The 23,231-nt window shown below is 42.2% G+C and overlaps 1 protein-coding gene and 1 long non-coding RNA gene across 7 annotated transcripts in view; both read right to left on the bottom strand.

Annotated features, from left to right (window-relative positions):
- The window catches only part of KAZN (kazrin, periplakin interacting protein), a 1,225,220-nt gene that overhangs the window by 608,364 nt on the left and 593,625 nt on the right, over positions 1-23,231 (bottom strand). The window lies entirely within an intron of this gene.
- On the bottom strand, positions 7,525-16,631 carry LOC124903850 (uncharacterized). The gene is made up of 2 exons (XR_007065478.1): positions 13,110-16,631; positions 7,525-13,012 (listed from the first exon to the last, which is right to left on the bottom strand). It is a non-coding gene; the product is annotated as an uncharacterized LOC124903850 (long non-coding RNA).

The following is a 23,231-nucleotide window of genomic DNA, read 5'->3' as shown; positions in this document are numbered from 1 at the left end:
TGCTGTATCTCCAGTGTCAGACACAGGCCTGGCGTGTGATGCAAGCTCACGGAATCATTTGTGAATGAGAGAATGGACTTAGGTGTGTCTCTTTGCTCTTAGAATGAAATTTAATCTTTTTCCACGGCCCTACGAGGCTCCTCGCCTACCTCTCTGATGTCATTTCAGATAGAACATTGTCAAAGGAGGCTTCACATGCGTAAAGGCCATGGCAGTTTCACCCATTTGGTGAGCTGGGCCACATCTCCATCCATCATGGACATGCCACACTGGTTGGTGGAAAGACCATGCGCTTGAGTGGTAGAAAGATCTAGGTGTGAATCCCAGCTTTGACTTAAGCTAAGTCACTTCCTCTTTGAGCCTGGATTTCATTATCTATATAACAGGGATAGTCATACCACATTTCTACCATATTTGTAGGGATATAGTATAAAACTAAATGCAATGATACGTGTAAGCCACCATTATAGGTCCTGGAGCACGGTCAGCCTTTAATAAATAGTAGTTGAATTTGCCCATGGCAAAGCACTCTCTAGAATACCTTGGTGGTACACTGTGCTTCAGAGACTGTTTAAACTCTTCACACATCATAGTACCTCCGTGCTAACACTATACGCTTTTCCTTTCTCACTGCCCTGTTAACCTATTCCCTGTCATCCTTGCACTAAATTTCCACTGGTTCCAATAAGCCCTTAGCTCTGTTTGCACAGTGCTGTGGTCTCTGCTTTCTTACAGGACAGAACAGGCAAGCAATGATCCCAGAAATGCCCTTCCTAGTTTCCTGCTTGCACCCAGGATGGGACCTGTTCCTGTCTGATCGGGTTCTGATCCTTAAATATCCTCCAGGCTGGATCCACTGCAGATGTTGCTGTTACCATGGTGACTATTATGGCCGAGATTTTTCTGAAACCATGAAGGGAGAACGGGCGAGGTCCAAAGAGCAAACATAATTACTCTTATACTGGGCTTTAAGCGCTCTACATAAATGCTGGATGATGTGTGCCTGGACCCTTGGGTCCTCTAAGCCCTCCACTTACGGCAACTCTTGATGTCATGTGGGCTTGCTGACTAGTGGAGAGCGCCTCTATTGAAACCAGGTGATTCCACCAGGTTGCTGCTATGATGAGGCCATAAACTATTATCCGTCTAGTAGGGAATTTTCTTTAAAAATTTGAAATTGTTTAAGGAAGGTCTTAAAATTCATCCGTAGTTTATTATTATATTTTTAACTTTGGTGTGGCAACGTTACCCGTAGAATCTGCGAGCCTAATAAGAAGATCCGTAGAATCTGCGAGCCTAATGAGAAGATCCTTCTAAGTCATGAAGTCTTGGGGGTAATCTGTTGCACAGCAATAGTGACGGGAACAGATGAGCTCTCTCTGGTTGGCTGTCTCGGGAACACCTGAGCTTCAACAAGTCCAGCGTGGAGCCCAGAACTATCTCTTCTAGTCCAGCCTGATGGCTTTGCACGAACATACCTAGGCTCTCTTGGGGTAGCACTTCCAATGTCATTTAAGCCAGAGTCCTTCAGCCCCAGGAATAACAACTGCTTCAGGGACTCCTCAATGATGGCAGGAGGATGGGAAAGCAGGTGGCTATGTGGAGGCAGGGTACTGGGGGGTCACAAGAATTGGGTCCATCTGAGAGAGTCTTGGGAAGATTTTGCTCCAAGTACTGCAACGTCACATTTTTTTTTTTTTTATTTATTTTTTGGAGACCGAGTCTCGCTCTGTTGCCCAGGCTGGAGAGCAGTGGCGCGATCTCGACTCACTGCAAGCTCCACCTCCCGGGTTCACACCATTCTCCTACCTCAGCCTCTCGAGTAGCTGGGACTACAGGCACCCGTCACCGTGCCCGACTAATTTTTTTGTATTTTTTTAACATCAAATTTTTATTAGACCTGCAGAGCTTCGGTGGGAGATCAGAATGAGGTGCCCATGGATGTAATTGTTGACTGAATTCCATCAGTGTTTGATTCATTGCCCCAAGGCTTTCAATTAAGAAAAGAAATACGGTTTCAATTTGGGGAAGAAAAGACAGCTCTCCTTCATATTGATTCTGCTAGGTGGTGTCTATTTTAGCCAAAATCTTATATGCACTCTGTTCCACTCTCAGAAAGAATTCTGCGTTACTGGTGTGATCCCTGGCGGATGCACTGACTATATATTTAGCACTTGATTCCTGGAATACAGGCTCTTTAGGTCTTCTAGCCATCGCTTGGCAACTTTTGTTTCCATAGAAACTAATGTTTATGTTTATATCTATGCACACTCTGTTTCTATCAGATTTTACTTCTCCGAGCAGCTGTTGTAAGTCATTTTACCAAGATGGACGATTGTGATAGGGAACAAAGCCCCCATTCTACTGAAATGAGAATTTTGTTTAGCATCATTATGGGCCTCAAAGTCAGAGTGGCTCAAAATAAAAATAAAAGGGGTTCGGAGAGGGATCTTATGCAGCAGTGTGGTCCAGAAAGCAAGAGATCCAGTACTAAAAATAAGGACCTGGCCCACAATGAAACCCATGCTCTGCAAACCAACAGGGGCTTTATCGATCTCTTTCTCTGGGGAAATATAAAGGCAATGTACATATTTAGTGCCAATCTGTTCTCTGCAGATTGTGGAAGAAGGCAAACGAAAATCTATGTTTGGAAGGGATGATCTGGGTGCCTAATTTATGCGGATGCACCACAATGGGATGGCTGGTCAACCTTCCTAGTGTTCTCACTAGGGCTCAGCCTAATCTTTCCTGAATGGCATTTGGAACCAATACAGACAGCCTCCTTTGCAAAGCTGAGACCACTGTCAAGTCCAATCGGTAGCCACCGTATCTTTTCCTATTTAATCTTGGCTCCATTTGTTTTTCTTATAGCTGACAATTTATATATACATACACACAGTTTTATTTCTTTTCTTATTTTGTTCATGCATTCTAAAGCACTGTCCCTGGCACCGTGTTTGACAGTAAGTGATAACAATGAGAGCTAAAATTTATCGGGCACTTATGATGTGTCAGCAATCCATACCATGCTTTATGTGGGCTTCCTCATTCAATCCTCACAACAGCCACCCAGATAAATATAATGATGATCCCCACTTTGGCAGTTGAAAGGACTGAGGCACAGAAAGCAATTTGCTCGAGGTTACAGGTGAGTGCGCAGCAGAACTGCGATTTGGGGCTCTGCAGTCTGATGTCTGAACCACCATATGATACTGTTCTCATGGTTCTGCTCTGGAATTCACAGGCCAGTGGGAGAGACAAAGGTATAAACGATGATCATGGCATGTGATGTATAGTAATAGCATCGTATGACATATATACTGCTATAGAAATATAGGAAGGATGTGATTAAGTCACCATGGGAGAGTGAAGTCTGGTTTAACAGAAATGGGTTATATCAGCTGGGCCTTGAAGACTAAGAGTTTTCCAAGTAAAGAAGAAAAAACATGTCCTCTTAAGCAAAGAGAATAACCCACTGTGTGGCACAGATGCACAAAAAGACATCATTATCTGCCCAAGTGGTATCATCTTTCTGGCCTGTCCTCCTCACCCTCTAGGTCACTTTTTATGTAATTTTTTTGTTGTTGTAAAATATACATAAGATTTGCTATCTTAGCCATTTTTAAGTGCACAGTTTAGTGACATGAAGTACATTCACATTGTGGAGCAACCATCACCACCATTCACCTCCAGAACTTTTTTTTTTGAGATGGAGTCTTGCTCTGTTGCCCAGGCTGGAGTACAGTGGCATCATCTCAGCTCACTGCAACCTCCACCTCCCGGGTTCAATCGATTCTCCTGCCTCATCCTCCCGAGTAGCTGGGACTACAGGATCATGCCGCCACGCCTGGCTAATTTTTTGTATTTTAGTAGAGACAGGGTTTCACCCTGTTGCCCAGGCTGGTCGCAAACTCCTGAGTTCAGGCAATCCACCCACCTCGGCCTCCCAAAGTGTTGGGATTACAGGCGTGAGCCACCGCGCCCAGCCAACTTTTTCATCATCTCAAACTGAAACTCCTTGTGCATGAAACAATCAGTTCTCATTCTCCCCTCCTGCTGGACACTACTGTCCCACTTTCTGTCTCTATGAATTTGATTACTCTAGAGTAATCAAATTTATTTGATCTCAGATAAGTGGAATCATGGAGTATTTGTCCTTTTGTGTCTGGTTTATTTCACTTAGCATGATGTCTTCAACCCTAGTGAACTTTCGAGCATTCAATCTCAGGTTTTCGTTGCTTTAGTCAATTATTGCCACACAATTGTGGATGATATCACATGTCACAGAAGGAAGAAGCATAGTAGACATCTATTGGCTTGTCTGCCTAGGACCTGTCTTCTAGAACCTGCCCTTTCCTCCTTCCATCCACTTGCTTAGAAGGGGCGGAACCATGTTCAGACCCACCCTCCTGGCCACGGTTGATTTGTTCAGGGATGGCCACTGGCCTCGGCTGGCCCATGAGCCTTTTCTCTGGGAGTTTAGAATGGGACCAAGAGATGCCCATCAGCATGGCTATTCTTGGAAATAGGAGAGGCTTCAAGTGGGGAGTTATTCGAGGTGGCCATTTCCTAAGAGGTGGGCAGAGAAGCAGAAAAACCCCTTTACACAGAAGCAGAAAAGGGATGAGGAAGTAGAAGGCATCCCTAGTTCCCTCCTGAGCTACACTTTTCGGTGGTATTTGCTTCCTAAGGCTCAGCTCTCCACTGCCCTTGGGTTTCCAGGGACACCCTGTAACCTTCTAATCAGGTCTCCATTCTGTCTATGCTAGTTCAAGTCATGTTCTATCACTTGCAACCTAAACAATTCTAGTTAATACAAGAAGAACTTAAAACCTTTAATTTGTTGGCCTCCACCTGAACATGAGTTTGGCCATTAAGGGAGAACAAATTTATCCTACAGCACTTTACCTCAGAGGGTGGAGCAGGAAATTCTTCATTAATGTTTCCAAAGAACTCTGGAATTTAGACGATTACAGAGGATTATGTTAATTCAAAGCTTTGACTGGAAGATGGGCGTTGCTGATGCAACTTACCTGATGAAGCCCATTGCCCCTGATTAGCTTCTCTTCCTACAAAAATTATTCCTCCCAGATAGCTCTCATCTCCCCTCGAGTAGCAGATCCCATCGTATCAGCTGCTTCCACTCCGTGTTGCACCTTCTCCTGGCTTCCTTTCTGCAATTCAGTTTGCCGACGAGAACTCGCTTGTTGGAAGTGCTTACTCAGTAGCTTCTTTCTCCACAAGAGAAAATGCCTGGCATTTCATTAATCCTCATTATGCTAGTTTTCACTTGTTTCCATGAATTCCCGTATCTTTTCTAACATCCTGTAGCATTTTAACTCAAGACCATCGGCTTTCTTCGAATTTCTCTCTCCCCCAGCTTTAAATTAACGGTAAATGTGGCCAGTGCCAGCCTCCAAATTATACCAGACTCCACTGAGTCTTCCTTCTACACTACCCCCAAGTCTGTTTCCATCTTGTTGTTCAGAGACAAGGTAATTGTCAGCTACAAACACAAACCGTGATACTTTGTCCTCATTATGACAAGCTCTGGGGACTTCTTGATTGGAGATACATTCAGGGTCTGGATTAGAGTGAGTCAATCAAAGCGACTAGGGCACGACATTTAAGGAGGTGTGAAAATTCGGAGGCCAGCCCTACCCCTGTGCAACCTTGAGAGTGAGGGCTTCCTTAAATGTTTTGTCCTACGTGCCTCTCTTGCCTCACCCTTGTACTGGGCCAGGTTACAGCTCACTGCTATGACCAGGGCTGTTTAGATACCATGATGTGATCAGACCAGGGGGTGGGAAGTTTTCTGGAGAAGAAAGTGATTCCAAGTCCTGAGGAATGCAGTGAGCCCCTGGCCCTAAGAGGAGGAGGGTATTAGCATAGGTTCATCAAATCTGGCTTACATCTTAGCCTTTGCAATTTTAGCCTTGGATTTCTCATCTGTAAAATGGGAATAATAACTGTTCTCTGCTTGCATAGGGGTTAGGAGGGTTGGACATGGGAGACGGTGAATGTCCAGCATGGTGGCCAGCATCTGGTAAGTCAATCAGGTGGAGGATTCATTGTAACTGCTGTTAAGTCTGTGTGTTTTGATGTGGAATTACAATGAATATTTATTGATCATCTAGTATAGCCAGGATATGCTGTAAGCACTCTACACATATCAATTCATTGAATCTTTTTTTTTGAGACAGAGTCTTGCTCTGTCGCCCAGGCTGGAGAGCAGTGGCGTGATGTCGGCTCACTGCAAGCTCTGCCTCCCAGGTTCATGCCATTCTCCTGCCTCAGCCTCCCGAGTAGCTGGGACCACAGGCACCCGCCACCACGCCCGGCTAATTTTTTGTATTTTTAGTGGAGATGGGGTTTCACCGTTGTTAGCCAGGATGCTCTCGATCTCCTGACCTTGTGATCCGCCTGCCTTAGCCTCCCAAAGTGCTGGGATTACAGGCACGAGCCACCACGCACGGCCAGTTCATTGAATCTTAATAATACCTCTCTGAGATTGGCGTTGCTATTGACCCATTTCCTAGAGGAGGAAATGGAGGCAAAAGCACTTAGCTGGTGGGTGCAGGAGCCAGAAATGTGAACCGCCCATATTCCACCTACCTGCCCCAGGACCCCTGAGCCTGCATTAGAGGTTCATTCATTTGGGTCTGAAAGACATTTAGGTATTCTGAAAGCAGATCCAAGAAGAAGCACAGGAGAGAAGAATGATTGTGGGTTTTAGAGCCAGGTGAAGCTGAAGTGAAAGTTCTGGCTGTCAACTCATTAACTGTGTCATTGAGCAACTCTCTCTGAAGGGTGTTCATAAAATAGGGATCATAAAGTTAGTGGGAGGATGGAATGAGATGATGCTTGTAAAAGCCCTGCATGGTACCAGGCACATAGTAAGTGTCTGTCAATGTCTGTATTTTACTTTTTCTGTTGCTCTGACCCACCTTGCAGGGATGCTGTGGTCATCACACAGTGCTCAGGACATACCAGGAGCCCAGCAGACGTTGGAGGTTTAGTTTAGTTCAGTCCTCAACTAAAATAGAGGAAGCATAAAAAGTAAACCTTTTAAACTGACCGTTTGCCAGAAGATAACATTTTGGTAGGCCCCCAGGAGTAGGGTTTACTGGAGACCTGAACAGAGGGCTCTAAAGAAGAGAGCTCATGGTTTCTCTACCCCCTACTCCTGCCCTTACCCTGCAAGAGATGACCTAAAAAAACCCAGAAATTGAGAATTTAATTCTAAATGCATATATGCTGGATTGTAAGCTTGTCTGAGGGCAAGGACCAGGTCTGTCTTCTTCAAAACTATTGCCTTCAGGTCTAGCACAAAGCACAATTCAGTTGATATGTGGTGAATGAATGAATCAGTGAATAAATGAATGAAGATATCAAGACTCTTCAGTCTGGAAAGATGCAGAGTTAGCAGAGGAAAGTCCCGAAGGGGTTGGAGAGGACAAGCACAGATTTCATTACATACTGGAACAGACCCACGAGGGGCATTCCTGGCAGTGGCTCTCAGGGGACATTAAAAAAAAAACAGCTTTATTAAGATATAATTCACATATCATAAAATTTACCTTTTTTAAAGTCTACAGTTCAGTGGCTTTTAGTATGTTCAGAGAGTAGTGCAACCATCACCACTAACTAATTTCAAAACTTCTTCATAACCCAACCCTCAAAAATCTGTAATCATTACTAGTCTCTCTTCATTCTCCCCTCCCTTGGTCCCAGGAAGAACTGATCTGCTGTTTCTATTGATTTGGCTATTCTCAATATTGCATATAAGTGAAATCATACAATATGACTGGATTCTTTCACTTAGCAGAATGTTTTCAAGGTGCACCCATGTTGTAGCACAGATCAGTCCTTCGTTTTTATGGCTGAATAATCTTCCATTGCTTAGATTGATTACAGCCGGGATTTTGTTAGTGCTTGTGTTGAATCCATAGATCACTTTGGGGAGTATTGCCATTTATCAATATTAACTCTTTCAATTCATGATCATGGAAGACTATTTTCATCTATTTCAGTCTTCCTTAATTTCCATCAACATGTTTTGTAGTCCTTAGTGTAGAATTCTTGCACCTCTGTTGTTGACTTTATACCAAAGTGTTTTGTTCTTTTTGATTCCAATCTAAAAGGAATTGTTTTTAAAATTTTATTTCTGGATAGTACATCGCTAATGTATAGAAATAGAATTGATTTTGTATCTTACATCTTATATCTTGATGGAAGATACAAGATTGATCTTGTATCTTACAACTTCGTTGAACTTATTTGTTAATTCTGATGGTTTTGAGTATGTGTGTGAGTCATTCCTTAGGATTTCCTATATACCAGGCCATGGCTTCTGCAAATAGATCTACTTTTCCAATCTGGATACTTTTTTCTTTCTCTTGCTTAATTGCGCTGGCTAGAACCTCCAGTACAATGTTAAATGGGAGTAGTGAGAATGAATATCTTTGTCTTATTTCTGATCTTGGAGGGAAAACATTCATTCTTTCACCATTAAGTATCATGTTAATTGTGGGCTTTTATTATTATTTTTATTTATTTATTTATTTATTTATTTATTTATTTATTTATTTATTTATTTTTTGCAGATGCTCTTTTTAGGTTATGAAAAAGTCTGTGAAGAATTGGTATTTATTCTTCTTTAAACATTTAGTAGAATTCACCAGTGAATCCATTTGGGCCTGGGCTTTTCTTTGTGGGAACTTTTTAAAACTAGAAATTAATCTCTCTACTTGTTATAAGTCAATTTAGATTTTCAATGTATTCTTGAGTCAGTTTCTGTAGTTTGTGTCTTCCAGGAATTTTCCCATTTCATCTAGGCTATATCATTTGTTGACATACAATGTGCATAGTATTTCCTCATACTCTGTTTTATTTATAATCTGTTTTATTTTATGAGGTAGGTAGTAATGTCTACTTTTTCATTCCTGGTTTAAGTCATTTGAGTCTTCATTTTTCTTTGTGAGTGTTATCAATCTTGTTGATCTTTTGAAAGAACCCACTTTTGGTTTCTTCGATTTTCTCTATCATCTTTCTATTCTATCTTTCATGTGTTTCGGTTCCAGTTTTTATTATTTCCTTCCTTCTGCTTGCTTGGAGTTTAGTTTGCTCTTGGTTTTCTAATTCCTTAAAGTGGAAGTTTAGGTTATTAATTTGAGATCTTGCTTCTTTTAAAAAATAGGCATCTATAACTATAAATTTCCCAAGGGACATTTACAAAATAAATACAAGGTTGTACTACTTAAGTTTTGAGAAATTATCTAGGCTGAAAAGAGAAATAAAACAAGTAAAGTTTAGGTCGGTGTTTCTGCAAGTGTTCTGTGTGCAAATACGTTTGGGAATAGTTGGCTTAAAGGAAGTGAAACAGATTTTCCCACTGCAGCACGGCTCTGGCTCTTTGACATGCCAGCGTAGGATATGACTCTCCCAGGGGAGGTGTGGCCCTTGAGTTCCCAGACTTTATTTGCCCAAGGAATACTTCATTGCTGGCATTCTGCAGGGCAGGGTAGCATCATGACTTGGGGGCCCTGGGTGCTTTTGCCTTTGTGGCCTTCTCTTTCATAGAAAGTATTAAAAATTATATTTTACAAACACAATGACATAAAGACATATAATGCAACTTAATTCATTATTATATGAATTCACTTATTCTATTCACGTTTTTCTAAGTTTAAAAGAAATTAAAACATTTTTGATTAATGAAACATCAGGTGCCTTGAACAGCGTGGTGGGCCTCTGCTACTGCGCCTGCTGGAGAAGTTAGCCAGATGCAGAGCTCGGCCAGGGGCAGAACATTCCCAGGAGATGTGAGCACACCGCTAAGCTCAGTGAGGGTTTCAGGACAGGCTGGCAAGGACAAGACCTGGAGTACAACTGAGGCCCAAGCCACTAGGGCCAAGCCAGGGTCACTGCCAGGACTGTGGCCATCAGTCATTTTTAGCATTCAAAAAGAAATAAAAATGTAACTCATCAGGAGCTCAGCATCTTCATATGAAATAAAATAACCCTGTCCTGTCTACACCTGCCTCTCTCCCTTTAAAGGATTTGGTTTGCTTGGGAGGGGTCTGAAATGTGCACCCATCTAACCCAGTTAGACTGCAGAACAATCGATAATGAGACAATGCACCATTGTTATTCAGAAACACCTCCCTTTTGCACAATCCTGGCGCCCACAGCCAGCTCCTCCCAGAAAGAAAGGCAGGACAGCAATTGTCACGGGATCAATATCTTCTAGCTTAGGAGGAATCGATCCCATGGCAGAGCCTCAAGGCAGCCTTCTCCCTATCTAAGACTTGGGTGGGGGAGAGAAGTGAGCATCCACCCCAAAAAGTGAGATGTGCAAGAGAAGTGCACTTAGCAGTGATGGGGATTGTAGAAGCGGTCTCTGCATCTAAGCTTTCTTTTATGTTTGGGAAAAGTTGAGAGGTGGGGGCTTTTAGCATTGCCTGAACTCACACGACTTGCCTGAGCTAGAGCTAGCATCAGAACTCCAGTCACCCGATGTCCACTTTGGCATGATCTTAGTTTTATAAACACACTCACCAAATATTTACAGATTCCTAGATTTGCTGGGGATTCTGCTTGGCAATGCATTGGTTAGGATCTTGGCAGAAAAGCAATGGTACCGTCAATAAGGTTAATTGAGGAGGGTTTAACGAGGGAACTGTTTACCATGCTGCTGCAGGGTTAAGAAAATCAATAAAGGATGACAAAGCACCGAGGACAGGCAAGAGTGGGAAGCTGTTACTGTCCCCAGGTCCCCAGGCCTGAACAGGAAGGGGAAGAAGGGGTTCTAGAACCTGGGGAACTGTCACTGTAGCGAAGAGGCTACTTAGACAGGGGCTTGCTGCCTTGGCCAACCCATGGCTTGGAGGGAGGGACCCAGGAGAATAAGTACCCAGACTCCTATCTCTTCCCACCCTCCACTCTCCATTTTTTTTCTTTTTCCTTTATTTTATTTTTTTTATTTTGAGACAGAGTCTTGCTCTGTCGCCCAGGCTGGAGTGCAGTGGCCTGATCTCAGCTCACTGCAACCTCCGCCTCCAGGGCTCAAGTGACTCTCCTGCCTCAGCCCACCAAGTAGCTGGGATTACAGGCACCCACCACCACACCCAGCTAATTTTTGTAATTTTAGTAGAGATGGGGTTTCACCATGTTGGCCAGGCTGGTCTCAAACCCCTGACCCCAAGTGATCCACCTGCCTCGGCCTCCCAAAGTGCTGGGATTATAGGCATGAGCCATCGTGCCTGGCCTACCCTCCAGTTTTCTTTGGCATCTTCCCAGCTAGAAGCCAGAGAGCACTGCCTGCCTGTGGCTTCACCCTGGGGCACAGAGCAGGCAGGAGAAGGCTGGAGAAAGGGTCTGCAGTGGTGAGTGGACACGACCTGGCACAGTGCTACCAATAGGAGGTGGAGGAACGAGTCCTTTGAGCTAGGAGCTTATGATGGAGTAGAGGCATAAAAGAACACTGACGAGCCATGGATTTTGTGCCTTGTAAATTCAAGGTGCTATGGTAATGTGAAAGAAGAAAACTGGAGAAGGGATCAGTGAGCAAAGTCAGGGAACGTTTCCAAAGTAAGAGCCTTGAACTGAGTCCCAGACATTGAATACGAATGAGGTGAAGGAGAAGCAGCTTGTAAAAGTACAGGCAAGGGAAACCGGATAGAAATTGGTGCCAGGCTGCAAAGCTTGAGTTTTAACCAGAAGGCATAGGAAGTCATTAAAATATGTTACGAGACCATGGGCAAGGAATTAACATGACTTCTTTCTAATGATGGGTTTTTGTCACTCTGCCTTTTCTTCTACATTGAAGATTCTTCTTCTTCCTCTTTTTTTTTTTCCATCTCAAATTGGATCAGCCACCCAATAGTTCCCAAAGGGCCAAGCAATAGTCAATATGTTGATCGGGTGGCTGTATTGGAAGCCAAGCCCTAACCCTCTAAGTCTTCCAGATTCTTAATTCTGTTGACAATCTGGTTCTCCAAGTATATATCTTCATAGGCTGAATGGGTAAGTAGTCTTTGACAAGCAGTATTAAATGTCCTATTATTTTACTCTGTTTCAAATTCCATACTCATTCATATGGCCAACTTTAAACTGAAATAAATTATTCTTCTGGTGACTCTATTCATCCTGAAGTTGAAAACCTCCTGGAAGTAATGGAAACTCAAGTTCTAAGGTAGGGAAATGACTCTGATTTACTTTTGTGAAATCTTTTCCCTTTTAAAATGATTTATTACAGTTTGCCACTATTCAAACCTCTTTAGGCTCTTGCAGCTGAATTTAAACAAAAAAGATCTTTTTTTTTTTTTTTTTTTTTTTTTTTTAGTAACAGAATTAAGTAAAGCATAGAAAAGACCAAACTCTACAACTGCAATAAAAACAGTCATTCTCTTATATCTCTTATAATTGAGATTCAATTTCACTTTCTCCTATCTGTCTCTGCTTATTAGTCAGAATCTCTGAGTGTAAAGGGTGAAGTCGGTGTTTTATCGCTATCAGAGTTGGAGAGAGAATAAGGCGTATGGGTTTTCTGTACCTCTTTTGTGCATGCTTTGTAATAGTCTAGCATTCTTTTGGTGGATATTCAATACCAGTAGATTGAATCTTGGCAGAGTTGGAAAATAAAACACAATGTTGCATTCAAGTATATATAATACTTTAGGCAAAAAGAATGGTAAAGATCCATTTCTCAGTTGTCAAGTTCTAAGATCAATGCATCTGGAAAGGGAGCCAGAATCTCTGTAGAGTCACACCTAGGTATTTCTGCAGCTGCTTCCTGGTTTCTGGGTTTGAATTCCAGCTTTTTTTTTTTCTTTTTTTGGTAAGCCTTTCAAATGCTGATGCTACATGTTTAAGAATGTACATGTGAATATCACGCTTTGCATGTAGGCGCGCACACATTTTCACCTATGTCTCAACTCAGAAAAGATGCTTCAGTGTGACTGAGAGAGCCCAGTAGTATTCTTAGAGTCGCTGCCGAGCTGCTTCAGAGCTGAAAATTTCAAGGGAATCAAAAATTAGGCTTCTATTTTCTTTGTCACTGTTCCTCATCTATCATTATAATAATGTATTCAAAAGTGATCACGAACCTTTTCAACAGCAATAATAACTAAAGTCTTTCAAGAAGCTATTCTTGTCTCCAAAGGAAACACCTTTTTTCTCTGGCCTTTATGAAAATAAAAATATCAAGGATTAAATCAAATCTCTAGCCCCCTAACACTGTGGTTAACGAGTCTATGAATATCAATTTTTATATTCGCATGCACAAGCACCCCCAACAACACATAAGTTATTCCCTTCCCCCCAGAATGTTCACATTCCTCAGTGCCATTTCTGTATTATTTCAAACATTCCTTGTTTCTATTTTGATTCTTGATAAGCAGAAAGAAGAGATTCAGAGGCTTTTTCCTTGTTAGCTTCACAGCAGGGATTTTTTATAAATATGGAAACTACAGCAGAGTTCGATTGTGTGTGTGAACTGAAAACCAGCAGCCCCTTTAAAGCCTAATTTATTCAAAATAACCACATGGCAACAAGGATCTTTCTTCTTCATTGTCTTGAATCGGTGAAAAGCGAGACTGTGAAAATAAATAGCAAGCCTTGGAAAAATCCTGTCTAATAAACTCAAAATGCTGGATCAGGTAAAACACACTTTTAGAAAAAGTCGTGGACTATTAAGAAAAGAAAGAAAAAGGAAAGAAAGATTCAATATTTCACTCTTAAAGACCCACCTTTCAAAGAAAGAACGTTGGTTCCACTGACTCCCTGATGATAAATGATGGAGAAAGGAAAGCCCCCTTTCCTTCCAATGTTATAATTCCTCGATGCATTTTGCATCAACTGGCAAGACCTGAAGGCAATTTCATTTTCGAGAAGCCCTCCTCTACCCCAAATTTCCTAACCAAGTCAATGGTGGATCACTGAGATACATGTTCCTGGGCATCTCATTTCCTCCTGATTTCCCGAGGCTACTTCTAATAAAGAAGGAGAGTTGGAGAGACCCAGAGACTCACAGGGATCCTAATATAATCACTTCTGTCAAACTAAAATTCTGACTCATGCTAATTCACTGTGACCAATCATTGGGAATTCAAGAAATAAGCTAGATCTACACTGTTAATTTAAATTATTCCAGTGTGCCTCATCTACCAGAAAGGAAAGGAGCATGAATTTCTTCTCTTTGCCTGGGGGTGTGGAGTGAGCCATCTGGCTAAAGGGGCAGGGGTAGTTAAAACTCACTCAGGATGAGGGGATTAATGGAAAATAGAACCAGGAGCCCCTGCCCTAATCCATGCTGTGGCCTTCATCTAGGGCTTTTCAGGTTGAAAGGAAGGTCTGATTGAGCCAAAATGATTACTGTCACAGGATTTCTTTATGGTTTTCTTTTAATCACCAGGCCTGGGTAAAATTGTCTATTGATTGACCTTCAATGAAATCTACTTTAACCTGGGAAATCCATTAAAAGAATAATTCAAGAGGTCATCTCTTTAGCAGCTCATTGTTAACCTGACTGCCTGGGAATTAATGATGCATACCGTTCTGGGAGACTCATAATGCCTTCCAAGTTTAAATATTTATCTGAACTCCTTGAAACCTTGCTGTATTCTCTTTCTCCACTAGCCTGAGTTTCATTTCTTCTTCTTTCCTTTGAGAAATGAATTTTTGTTTTTCCTTCCTTAGAATCAGATTCACTGGTGCTCTCTGTGCTCCACATTCTAGTGGGTCAGCTGTGGGGGAAGTTCCCAGAATTCTCTACCTCCCCACATCACCCAGGCTATCTCTCCCAATGACCAGAGAGCACTGGAAATGCAATATGCCTTCCATAGTTTCCCATAAATGCTGCACCGAATGCATTTTAATTTGTACTGAAAGGGGTCACATTTTAGAATTAAATTGTCCACTCTGGACATATTTACTCCTGAAGGGTGCAAAAAACAATGCTTCCTGGAGATTTTGGTTTTGCTTGGACATTACAGATTGGTTCAGGAGGTCAGAAGTAAGGCAGTGGGGATAGACTATTACACCTAATGTTGGCAGCTAGGCACGAAAGGACCTGCCTTGCCACACTGGAGATTGGACCAGAGGCTGTGTACATCAACATGTCACCTGCCTATTGACCTGAAGGGGGATTGGCATGACACCCAAATAGACAGTGAGAGGAAGTACATGGGGAACTCAACATCCCAACTGTCATCACACAAGAAGCCATTGACAGTGACCAAAGATGGGGGTGGAGGGACCCAAATTCAAAAACATGAGTATTAAGAAAAAGCAACAGCTCAGCATAAGAGCAGGTAGCAACCTCTACCTACCCACTCCCTCTCTGCCCAGCCACGGTTGTGTGCTCATACTATACACTGTGCTATAACCCTGCCCACATCTTATTTATGGCACTTGTCACACTTAATTAAAATTACCTGTATAATTGCCTAATTTCCCCATTTGATTCTATCATCTATGGGGACAGGGACTTGCTGGCTCTGGGCTGCTCCTGAGACTAATTCAGTGCTCAGCCCTGGATGGGCAGTCAATAAATTGCATTGTTGAATGAATGAATGAAACATCCATAATATTCAGGGGAAATACGTGCTTCTGAAAATGATTTACTCTAGGAACCAGAAGAAAAGTTTAGAAGACAAAGCCAGAAGACATGGCCCAAGGAGAAGAAGAATAGAACATCCTAGGAGAGAAGGGGTTGAGGTTGAAAGAGAATTGTCTTGAGACACAACCCTGACCTGGAGATGGGACTGAGGAGACAAAGAAGTATTGAAAGGAAATGAAAGTTGCAGTTGCAGAATTAAAATTCAGCCATGAGGCCAAAAAGAACACAATCATCATTGCAGATTAATGACTGATTCCTGATCAATGGCCTGAGTATGAATTTGAGAAGCTCTCCCAGAATGCAGAACAAGAAAATCTATAATGAAATCAGACATAAGAATATAAGAAATAAGACATCTTCATGGAATTGGAGAAGATGTAGGGAGCACGTAGAGATATTATATCATATTTCAGGCAAAATTAATGAAAGGGGCACCATTTCCAGGCACATTCTGGCAAAACTCAAATTATAAGGATAAAGACAAAAATCATACAAGCATGAGTCTGAAACAAGATGAAACAACATACATTGTGGGAGGGAGGGCTTCTCCCCACTCTTCTTTCCCCACCCCATCTTCCTCCCCAAGGAGGTGGAATGAGATACAGAGTGGTGAGTCGGATGTGAATGGATGGGACCTGAGCAGCTCAGCTCTTCCTCTCTTCTCCTTTTCTCTGGGAGCCCCCTTGTCCAAGTCATTCTGTAGAACCATCACAACCCACACCAGGTGTTGCTTTCATCTTCCGTTCTTTCAGCAAATACTCATTGAGTATCTACTTTGTGTTGTGCCTGGTTTCCATGCTGGGGATTTCAGAGAAAGTCTGATTGAGAAGACAATAGGCAAAGACACAGATGAGTGTACAGCACGGGGCAGGCAGTCCTAAGATTCCCCGAGGCAGAATAAAACAAGGCAAAGGGCCGAAGGATCAGGTGGGAGGGAGGGGCACGCCTTCCTAGAGAGGTGGTCCAGAAAGGCTGCGTGGATGAAGTGACATTCCAACAGGCCTGAGAGAGGTGGGGGACAAGCTGTGCGAACGTCTAGGGAAGAATGTCCAGGCAGAGGGAACAGCCAGGGCAAAGGCACTGAGGAGAAGAGGGCCGGGACCTGATTAAGGAATGTCCAGGTCAAGAGGCTGCAGCGAGCAAGTGGTGGGGGATGGCAGAGGTAGTGGTGTGCATGTGTGTGTGCTGTGCGTGCTCACACATGGGTATGGTGTGTGTACGTGTGTGATATATGGGCGGTATATGTGTGATGTGAGTGCATATGTGTGATGTGTGTGCACGTGTGGTGTGTGTGATGTGTGTGCACATGTGGTGTGTGTGCTGTATGTGGTGTGTGTGGTGTGTGTATGTGCGCTGTGTATGTGTGGTGTGTGTGTGGTGTGTAGTGTGTATTTGTGGTGTGTGCATGTGTGGTTATGTAGGGCCTAGGGATTATGGGGCCCTGAATTTTCTCCTAAGTGTAAAGAGAAGCTATCAGAAAGGGCAGCAGTCCTGGCCCTTCCACCATTGGAAATGGCCTTGTGCTTTTTCTGGCCATGTCTGCCCACCTCTGTAGAACAGAAGCTTCATAAGGGAAGTCTCGTTTTCCATCTTCTTCCCGTTGATTTCCCAGCACCTACAATGGCATCCTATGCAGGGCAGGTGCTGAAGAATCATTCACTGACAGAATGAGTGAATGAGTGAAGCAGAAGCCACGAGGAGGCAGGGAAAAGACAGTGTGGAGAGAAGCAAGGCTCCTCAATTCATGGTGGCGACCAACTGTGGGGTCCCCAAATTCCAGGGAGCCCTGAGGCCATCTGGGCCCAGAAGAACCCAAACTCCTGTTCTCTCCAAGACTCAGATTCACTCTTCTTGGGCAAGTCTGGGTGACAATCCTCTTGTCACCTCTGGACAGCCTGGCCAGTTTCCCCAGCTGGTCAGGCCCTTCTAGGATCTACTGCTGTCCCCAAACCTGCTCACAGCAGTGGCCAGTTCAGACTGGGTTTGAATGTACCCCTTCCAGCACATTCTATCCTCTTTTTCCATTTTTGTTTAATCCAGTGTCTGGCACAAAGTAAGCATGGGGCTGATAATTGTTAAATGTCTTACTGCTCGAGACACTGAAAAGCAATGGTATGAAAAGATTAAAAAGGGAGGGATAGGCAAAAAAGTTAAATAATACAAGCAAAAAGATTTTTTTCTTTTTAAAAGCAGGGGTGGCAGGATCTATTTCAGACAAAGTAGAATTCAAATTCAAAGTGGAATTCAGAAGGGGGAAAAGCATTATTAAATAGAACAAAGGGGACATTTATATAGATAAATGGTATAATCACACAGAACTTATAAATAGCCACACACTGACAATGTATTAGATAACATGCAACACCCACTCCTTATTAAAAAGGAAAGAAAACCTCTTTGAAAGCTAGGAATGCAAGTCCACTTAATCAGCATGACAAATAATATCGAGCTAAAACCAGCAACTACCATCATATTTAATGGTGAATACAGAAGGTATTCTCATTAAAATCAGTAGAAATCCAAGTGTCCCTGGTAATATCAAAAGAGTAACATGGACACAGGGAGGGGAATATCACACACCGGGACCTGTCGGCGGGTAGGGGACTAGGGGAGGGATAGCATTAGGAGAAATACCTAATGTAGACGACGGATTGATGGGTGCAGCAAACCACCATGGCACGTCTATACCTACGTAACAAACCTGCACATTCTGCACATGTATCCTAGAACTTAAAGTATAACAATAATAAAAAAAGAGTAACTTGTAAATCTCTTAGAGTTCATGAGGTTTAATAAAGTAGGTGGATTAACTATCAAATAGAGAAAAAGCAATAGCTTTGCTTATAACAGCATTAACCAGTTAAAAGATGAAATGGGAAAGAAAACCACTTTCTTAATTGCAATAGCAAACCCAGGACACCTAGGAATAAACATGACAAGGAATGAGTAGGATCGACATGAGGAAAATTGGAAAAATCTTTTTGAGATACAAAAGAAGATGTGAACAAATGTATAAACATTTCTGTAGAAGGAATCTAAAGTTTGTGACAATGACAATTCTTCTCCAATTAGTTTATAAACTTAGTATTTTCTCAATCAATAGTCTTTGGATTTATTTTTCTTTTGAAATGTGACCAAATGATTCTAAAGTTTATTTGGAAAAATGAACAGATGGGAAAAAACTAAGAGGATTAGAACAATGTTTCAAAAATGTTGAAATCGATTATGTGGAAGCATCATGGCAGGTGAATTTTATTCTCCTCTTTGTATTTTTTCTACATTTAAAAAATCTTTTAGAATGCAAACATTTCATACTAAAATTCACATAGAAATAGAATTAGTTGCAAAAATATAACCATTAAAAAACAACCACCCCGTCTCTGCTAAAAATAGAAATATTAGCTGGGGATGGTGGCACACGCCTGTAATCCCAGCTACTCAGGAGGCTGAGGCAGGAGAATTGCTTGAACCTGGGAAGCGGAGGTTGCAGTGAGCCGAGATCGCGCCACTGCACTCCAGCCTGGTGACAGAGCGAGACTCCATCTCAAAAAACAAACAAACAAACAAACCAAAAAAACAAACAAAAAAAACAACCAAATGCAGATGAGTTGTTCATTAATCTCAGGCTATACAAAGACTTTCTAAATATACACACAATTAAGATCATCTTAAGAAATGTGATGGAGTGGGTTGTACAAAAATTAAACTGTGTCTCTCAAAAAGCAAACACACTCAAAAGCCAAACTTCAAAGAAAACAAAATTGTAACTAACGCAGATAAAGGGTAAATTTTTTCCTGATATAAAAGGGTCTCAAAGATCAAAAAGAAGGACCTTCACCCATTAGTAGAACAAAAGGGTGGAAGATAAGAGCAGACAAATCACAGAGGCCAACCTGACTAGTAATCAAACAAATTAACAAGGCAAGTCACTGCCATTTATGCCAAACTGTCCAGCACAAAAAGATGCTGAATGCTGAGAGGATGAGAATGGATGTGCCTTCCTCTTCAGGCTGTTGGTGGCTTGAAGTGGCATGCTCATTCTCAAAAGCATTTGACAATGGGTAACAAAGACTTAAAATGAGTTCACAACCTTTGACAAAGGAATTCCATTTCCAGCAAGTCTATTCTAGGGAAACAGTCAGATATGTAGGCAAAGATTTATACACAAGAATATTTATTCATGAGAGAAATGAACATTGAAATTCTATTTTGAATAATATTTAAATTAAGGAAAAATTCTCCTTAAATAATGTTGATTGAAAAGTGATTTCAAAACAGTGTATTCATTATTATTATTATTATTATTATTATTATTATTATTTTTAAGACAGAGTCTTACTCTGTCACACAGGCTGGAGTGCAGTGGTGCAATCTAGGCTCACTGCAAACTCTGCCTCCCAGGTTCAAGTGATTCTCCTGCCCCAGCCTCCCAAGTAGCTGGGATTACAGGCATGTGCCACCATGGCCAGCTAAGTTTTGTATTTTCAGTATAGATGAGGTTTCACCATGTTGGCCAGGCTGCTCTTGAACTCCTGACCTCAAGTGATCCGCCTGCCTTGGCTTCTCAAAGTGTTTGTTAGGATTACAGGCATGAGCCGCTGTGCCCAGCCCAAAACGGTGTATTCAATTTACACTGAATTACAATAAATTGATCCCAATTTATATAGATACATTTTATGTAGATACAGTTTATATATATATAATTTTATCCCGATTTATATAGATATAGTTGATCTCAATTTATATAGATACAGATACACAGAACTTATATAGATGTGTATAATAGATATATAGAGTCCCAAAATGTTACCCGTGATTATCTCTAGTCAAATTACAGTTAGTTATTATTTTTGTCATATTCTTCTTTTTTTCACATTTCCAATTTTTCTACAACGTGTAGAAATGACCTCAATCATAAGAAACCCCAAGATTATTTTTAAAAAGACGAAAACAACAATTGCCAAAGAATTTGGCTCCCAAGGTGTGGGACAGAAGTTAACTCTAGTGATCTCTGTTTCTCTTTCTCTCAAGGCCCAATAAAGGGAAAATACAATTAAGTTAATCGCCATAAACATTTACTGCACCCTTACCGTGAATAAGGCACAGTGCTGAGGGCAGTGAAACAATGCAAAGATGGACAAGAAATGAATCCTGTCCTCCAAACACAGTCATCAAGTCAAAATAGATGGACCCCAAATTGGAAAGCCAGAAAACATGGCGCACGGGGCCAAGGGGTGATGGGAAGCCAGAGGCAGATGGAGAGGGCTAACGGGAAGGATCCCTGGGGGAAGAAACTTTCTTGCACTTCTCAGACATCGCAGGAATTACAATGCCATGGAGGAAGTTTTCTTTTCTGGAATTCCTTTCAGGGACAGCATTTTGTGTGGTTGGAGGAAGGGGTGGTGAATGAAAAAAGCAGCCTGTGATTGAAGACGCTTACAGGAGGGCAGGCGCTCTGCTAAATGCTTTAATTGTGCTCTTTCACTGAATCCTCAGACTGAGCCTATGAGGTTGCCACTATTACAAGCCCCATGTTCTAGATGGGGAAGTGGAGGCCCAGCAGTTACATAATGTGCCTGTGTCTGCACACAGCACATGGTAGAACCAGGATTTCAGTCCAAGCAATTTCACCTTAGAGCCTTTACTCATTTTTCCTACAGAGTGGAGCTTGCAAATTGGGCCAGAGTGGAATTGTTCAGACCTTAGCGACGATGAGAGGTCACCGTTCTCTTTTTCAGCATCCTCCTGTCTTTCTTCCTCTCTCCCCAACATCTCAGGCAGCTTTGAGCCTCTCCTCCAAGCAAGTGACTAAGAGACAGATATGTCAAGAATATTGTATTGAAGGTGTGCCAAATGATTAGCCTCTACATGATACTGAAGAGTCTTAAGTCTGGGCCTCTGGAGAGCCCAAAAGGGAGACAGGTTTCTTCTGCAAAGACTCATCTATGATCCCTGTTGTAAGTTATTAGTTTAATGAATACTTGCTGAGCATCCAATATGCTAGGATATTGTGTTAGGTGCTGGGGATACTCTCAAAGCTCCTTAGTCAAAACCCTCCAGTCTACAGACCTCTCCTCTGAGCCAGTGGCCCATGTGACCTCCTTCCTTGGAAGGCCTCACCCTCAGCACATCCCAACTGAATCACTGCTCCGTTCCAAGCCTCCCATTCCTTCTGGATCCTTTCCTGGTGAGGCAGCACTATCTACCCAGATCTGCAAGCCACAAATGACCTTCTGCCCCATGGCATCTGATCCATCCTCAAATGTTGTCCAGGCTCACCCCTCAAAAATATCTACTGCTGTCCACCAGCACTGCCACCACCTCAGTTGCAGCCACCATCCTCTCTCCTGGACAACCACTCTAGCCTCCGAAAGGTATTCCCGCATTGGTTCAGTTGTCACACAGAGAGAACTTAACTCTTTCCTTTCCTCCACTTTTAAAAGCCTCTGGGTTTTTTGTTTATCTTTGGAACAAAATAAAAGTCTTTGGCTCCAGCCCCTACTTAGCTAATTTCTTCATCTCTCCTCTTCTTCCCTTTGTATGTGGATATGAAGCTGGGGAAATAAGTGAATGTCTGGACACCAGGCTGTGACATTGGTGACTTTGGGGTGTGAGGCTGGGGATGAGAAAGGAGGTGGGTAGAGGGAGATTTTTCTCATGTATCTTTGAACTGTTTCACTGGCTATAGTGAATACAAGTTAACTCTGTAATATTAGCAAAGAAAATTAATAAAGTATGCTTACATATTGTCCATTACTTAAGGAAGGAGAGTCTTTTAGTTAGCTATATGGAAAACTTTACTGTAATGTTTGCCTTTTCCTTCCCTATGGTGTCCCCAAAAAACCAGGTCAAACAAAACAGGAGGTAAGGAGGGGGCCTGAGCACTCATGCTGGTGTTGGACCAAGAGCTTTCAACTAAGTGGAAAAGAAAAGTGCAACCCTGTTGATTTAGTCCAGTGTCCTAACGTGCCAGGAAAGAACTCACCACTGTAGCTGTTAGCACTGATTTATGGAATCTCATCTAGACCATTTTCAGCCCTACCAAAAAATAGCTGGTCCTCTGAATACACACAGCTGATGAATGCCTCTGTTTAACTTGGCCACAAGCAAAACCACACTGAATGTGAATAATTGCTTCAGATAAAAAGACAGAACCCGTAATTTACAGGGAGCTACCAAGGAATTTAGGCTCGAGGTCAAACCGATGGCCTGGCAAGTATAATATTATGCCTGGCACTTCCCAGTGGTCAGTACTTTGGAATCCAGCCCGCCTAGTCTGTGAAATTCACCATGGAGGACAAGAAACGGAATTCTCCTCCCAAGCCTGAAGGTGTTAGTGGCATGGTGTCAACTCTTATTACCTAGTTAAAAATTGATTATCAAAATGTCTATCTGCTGAGTCTATCTGACTCAACCATCTTCACTACGCATTATCTTTTGTGGATCTTAAATGTACAGGCTATTAAAGTGGGCCAGCTCCTCTTATAAAACAAGACAGAGGAAAAGCAGGAATGTTTCCAAGATAGCTTCTGTATGAGTAACATACAACGGTAGAGTAATGAACTATGATGCTAAATTTTCATTATGAAATTTCACTTTTCCTCCTCAA

This window comes from Homo sapiens, chromosome 1 (genome assembly GCF_000001405.40).
Source record: "Homo sapiens chromosome 1, GRCh38.p14 Primary Assembly".
NCBI classification, from domain to species: Eukaryota; Metazoa; Chordata; class Mammalia; order Primates; family Hominidae; genus Homo; species Homo sapiens.
The sequence above is the reverse complement of the archived record's forward strand: the minus strand, read 5'-3'. Positions and strand labels throughout refer to the sequence as shown.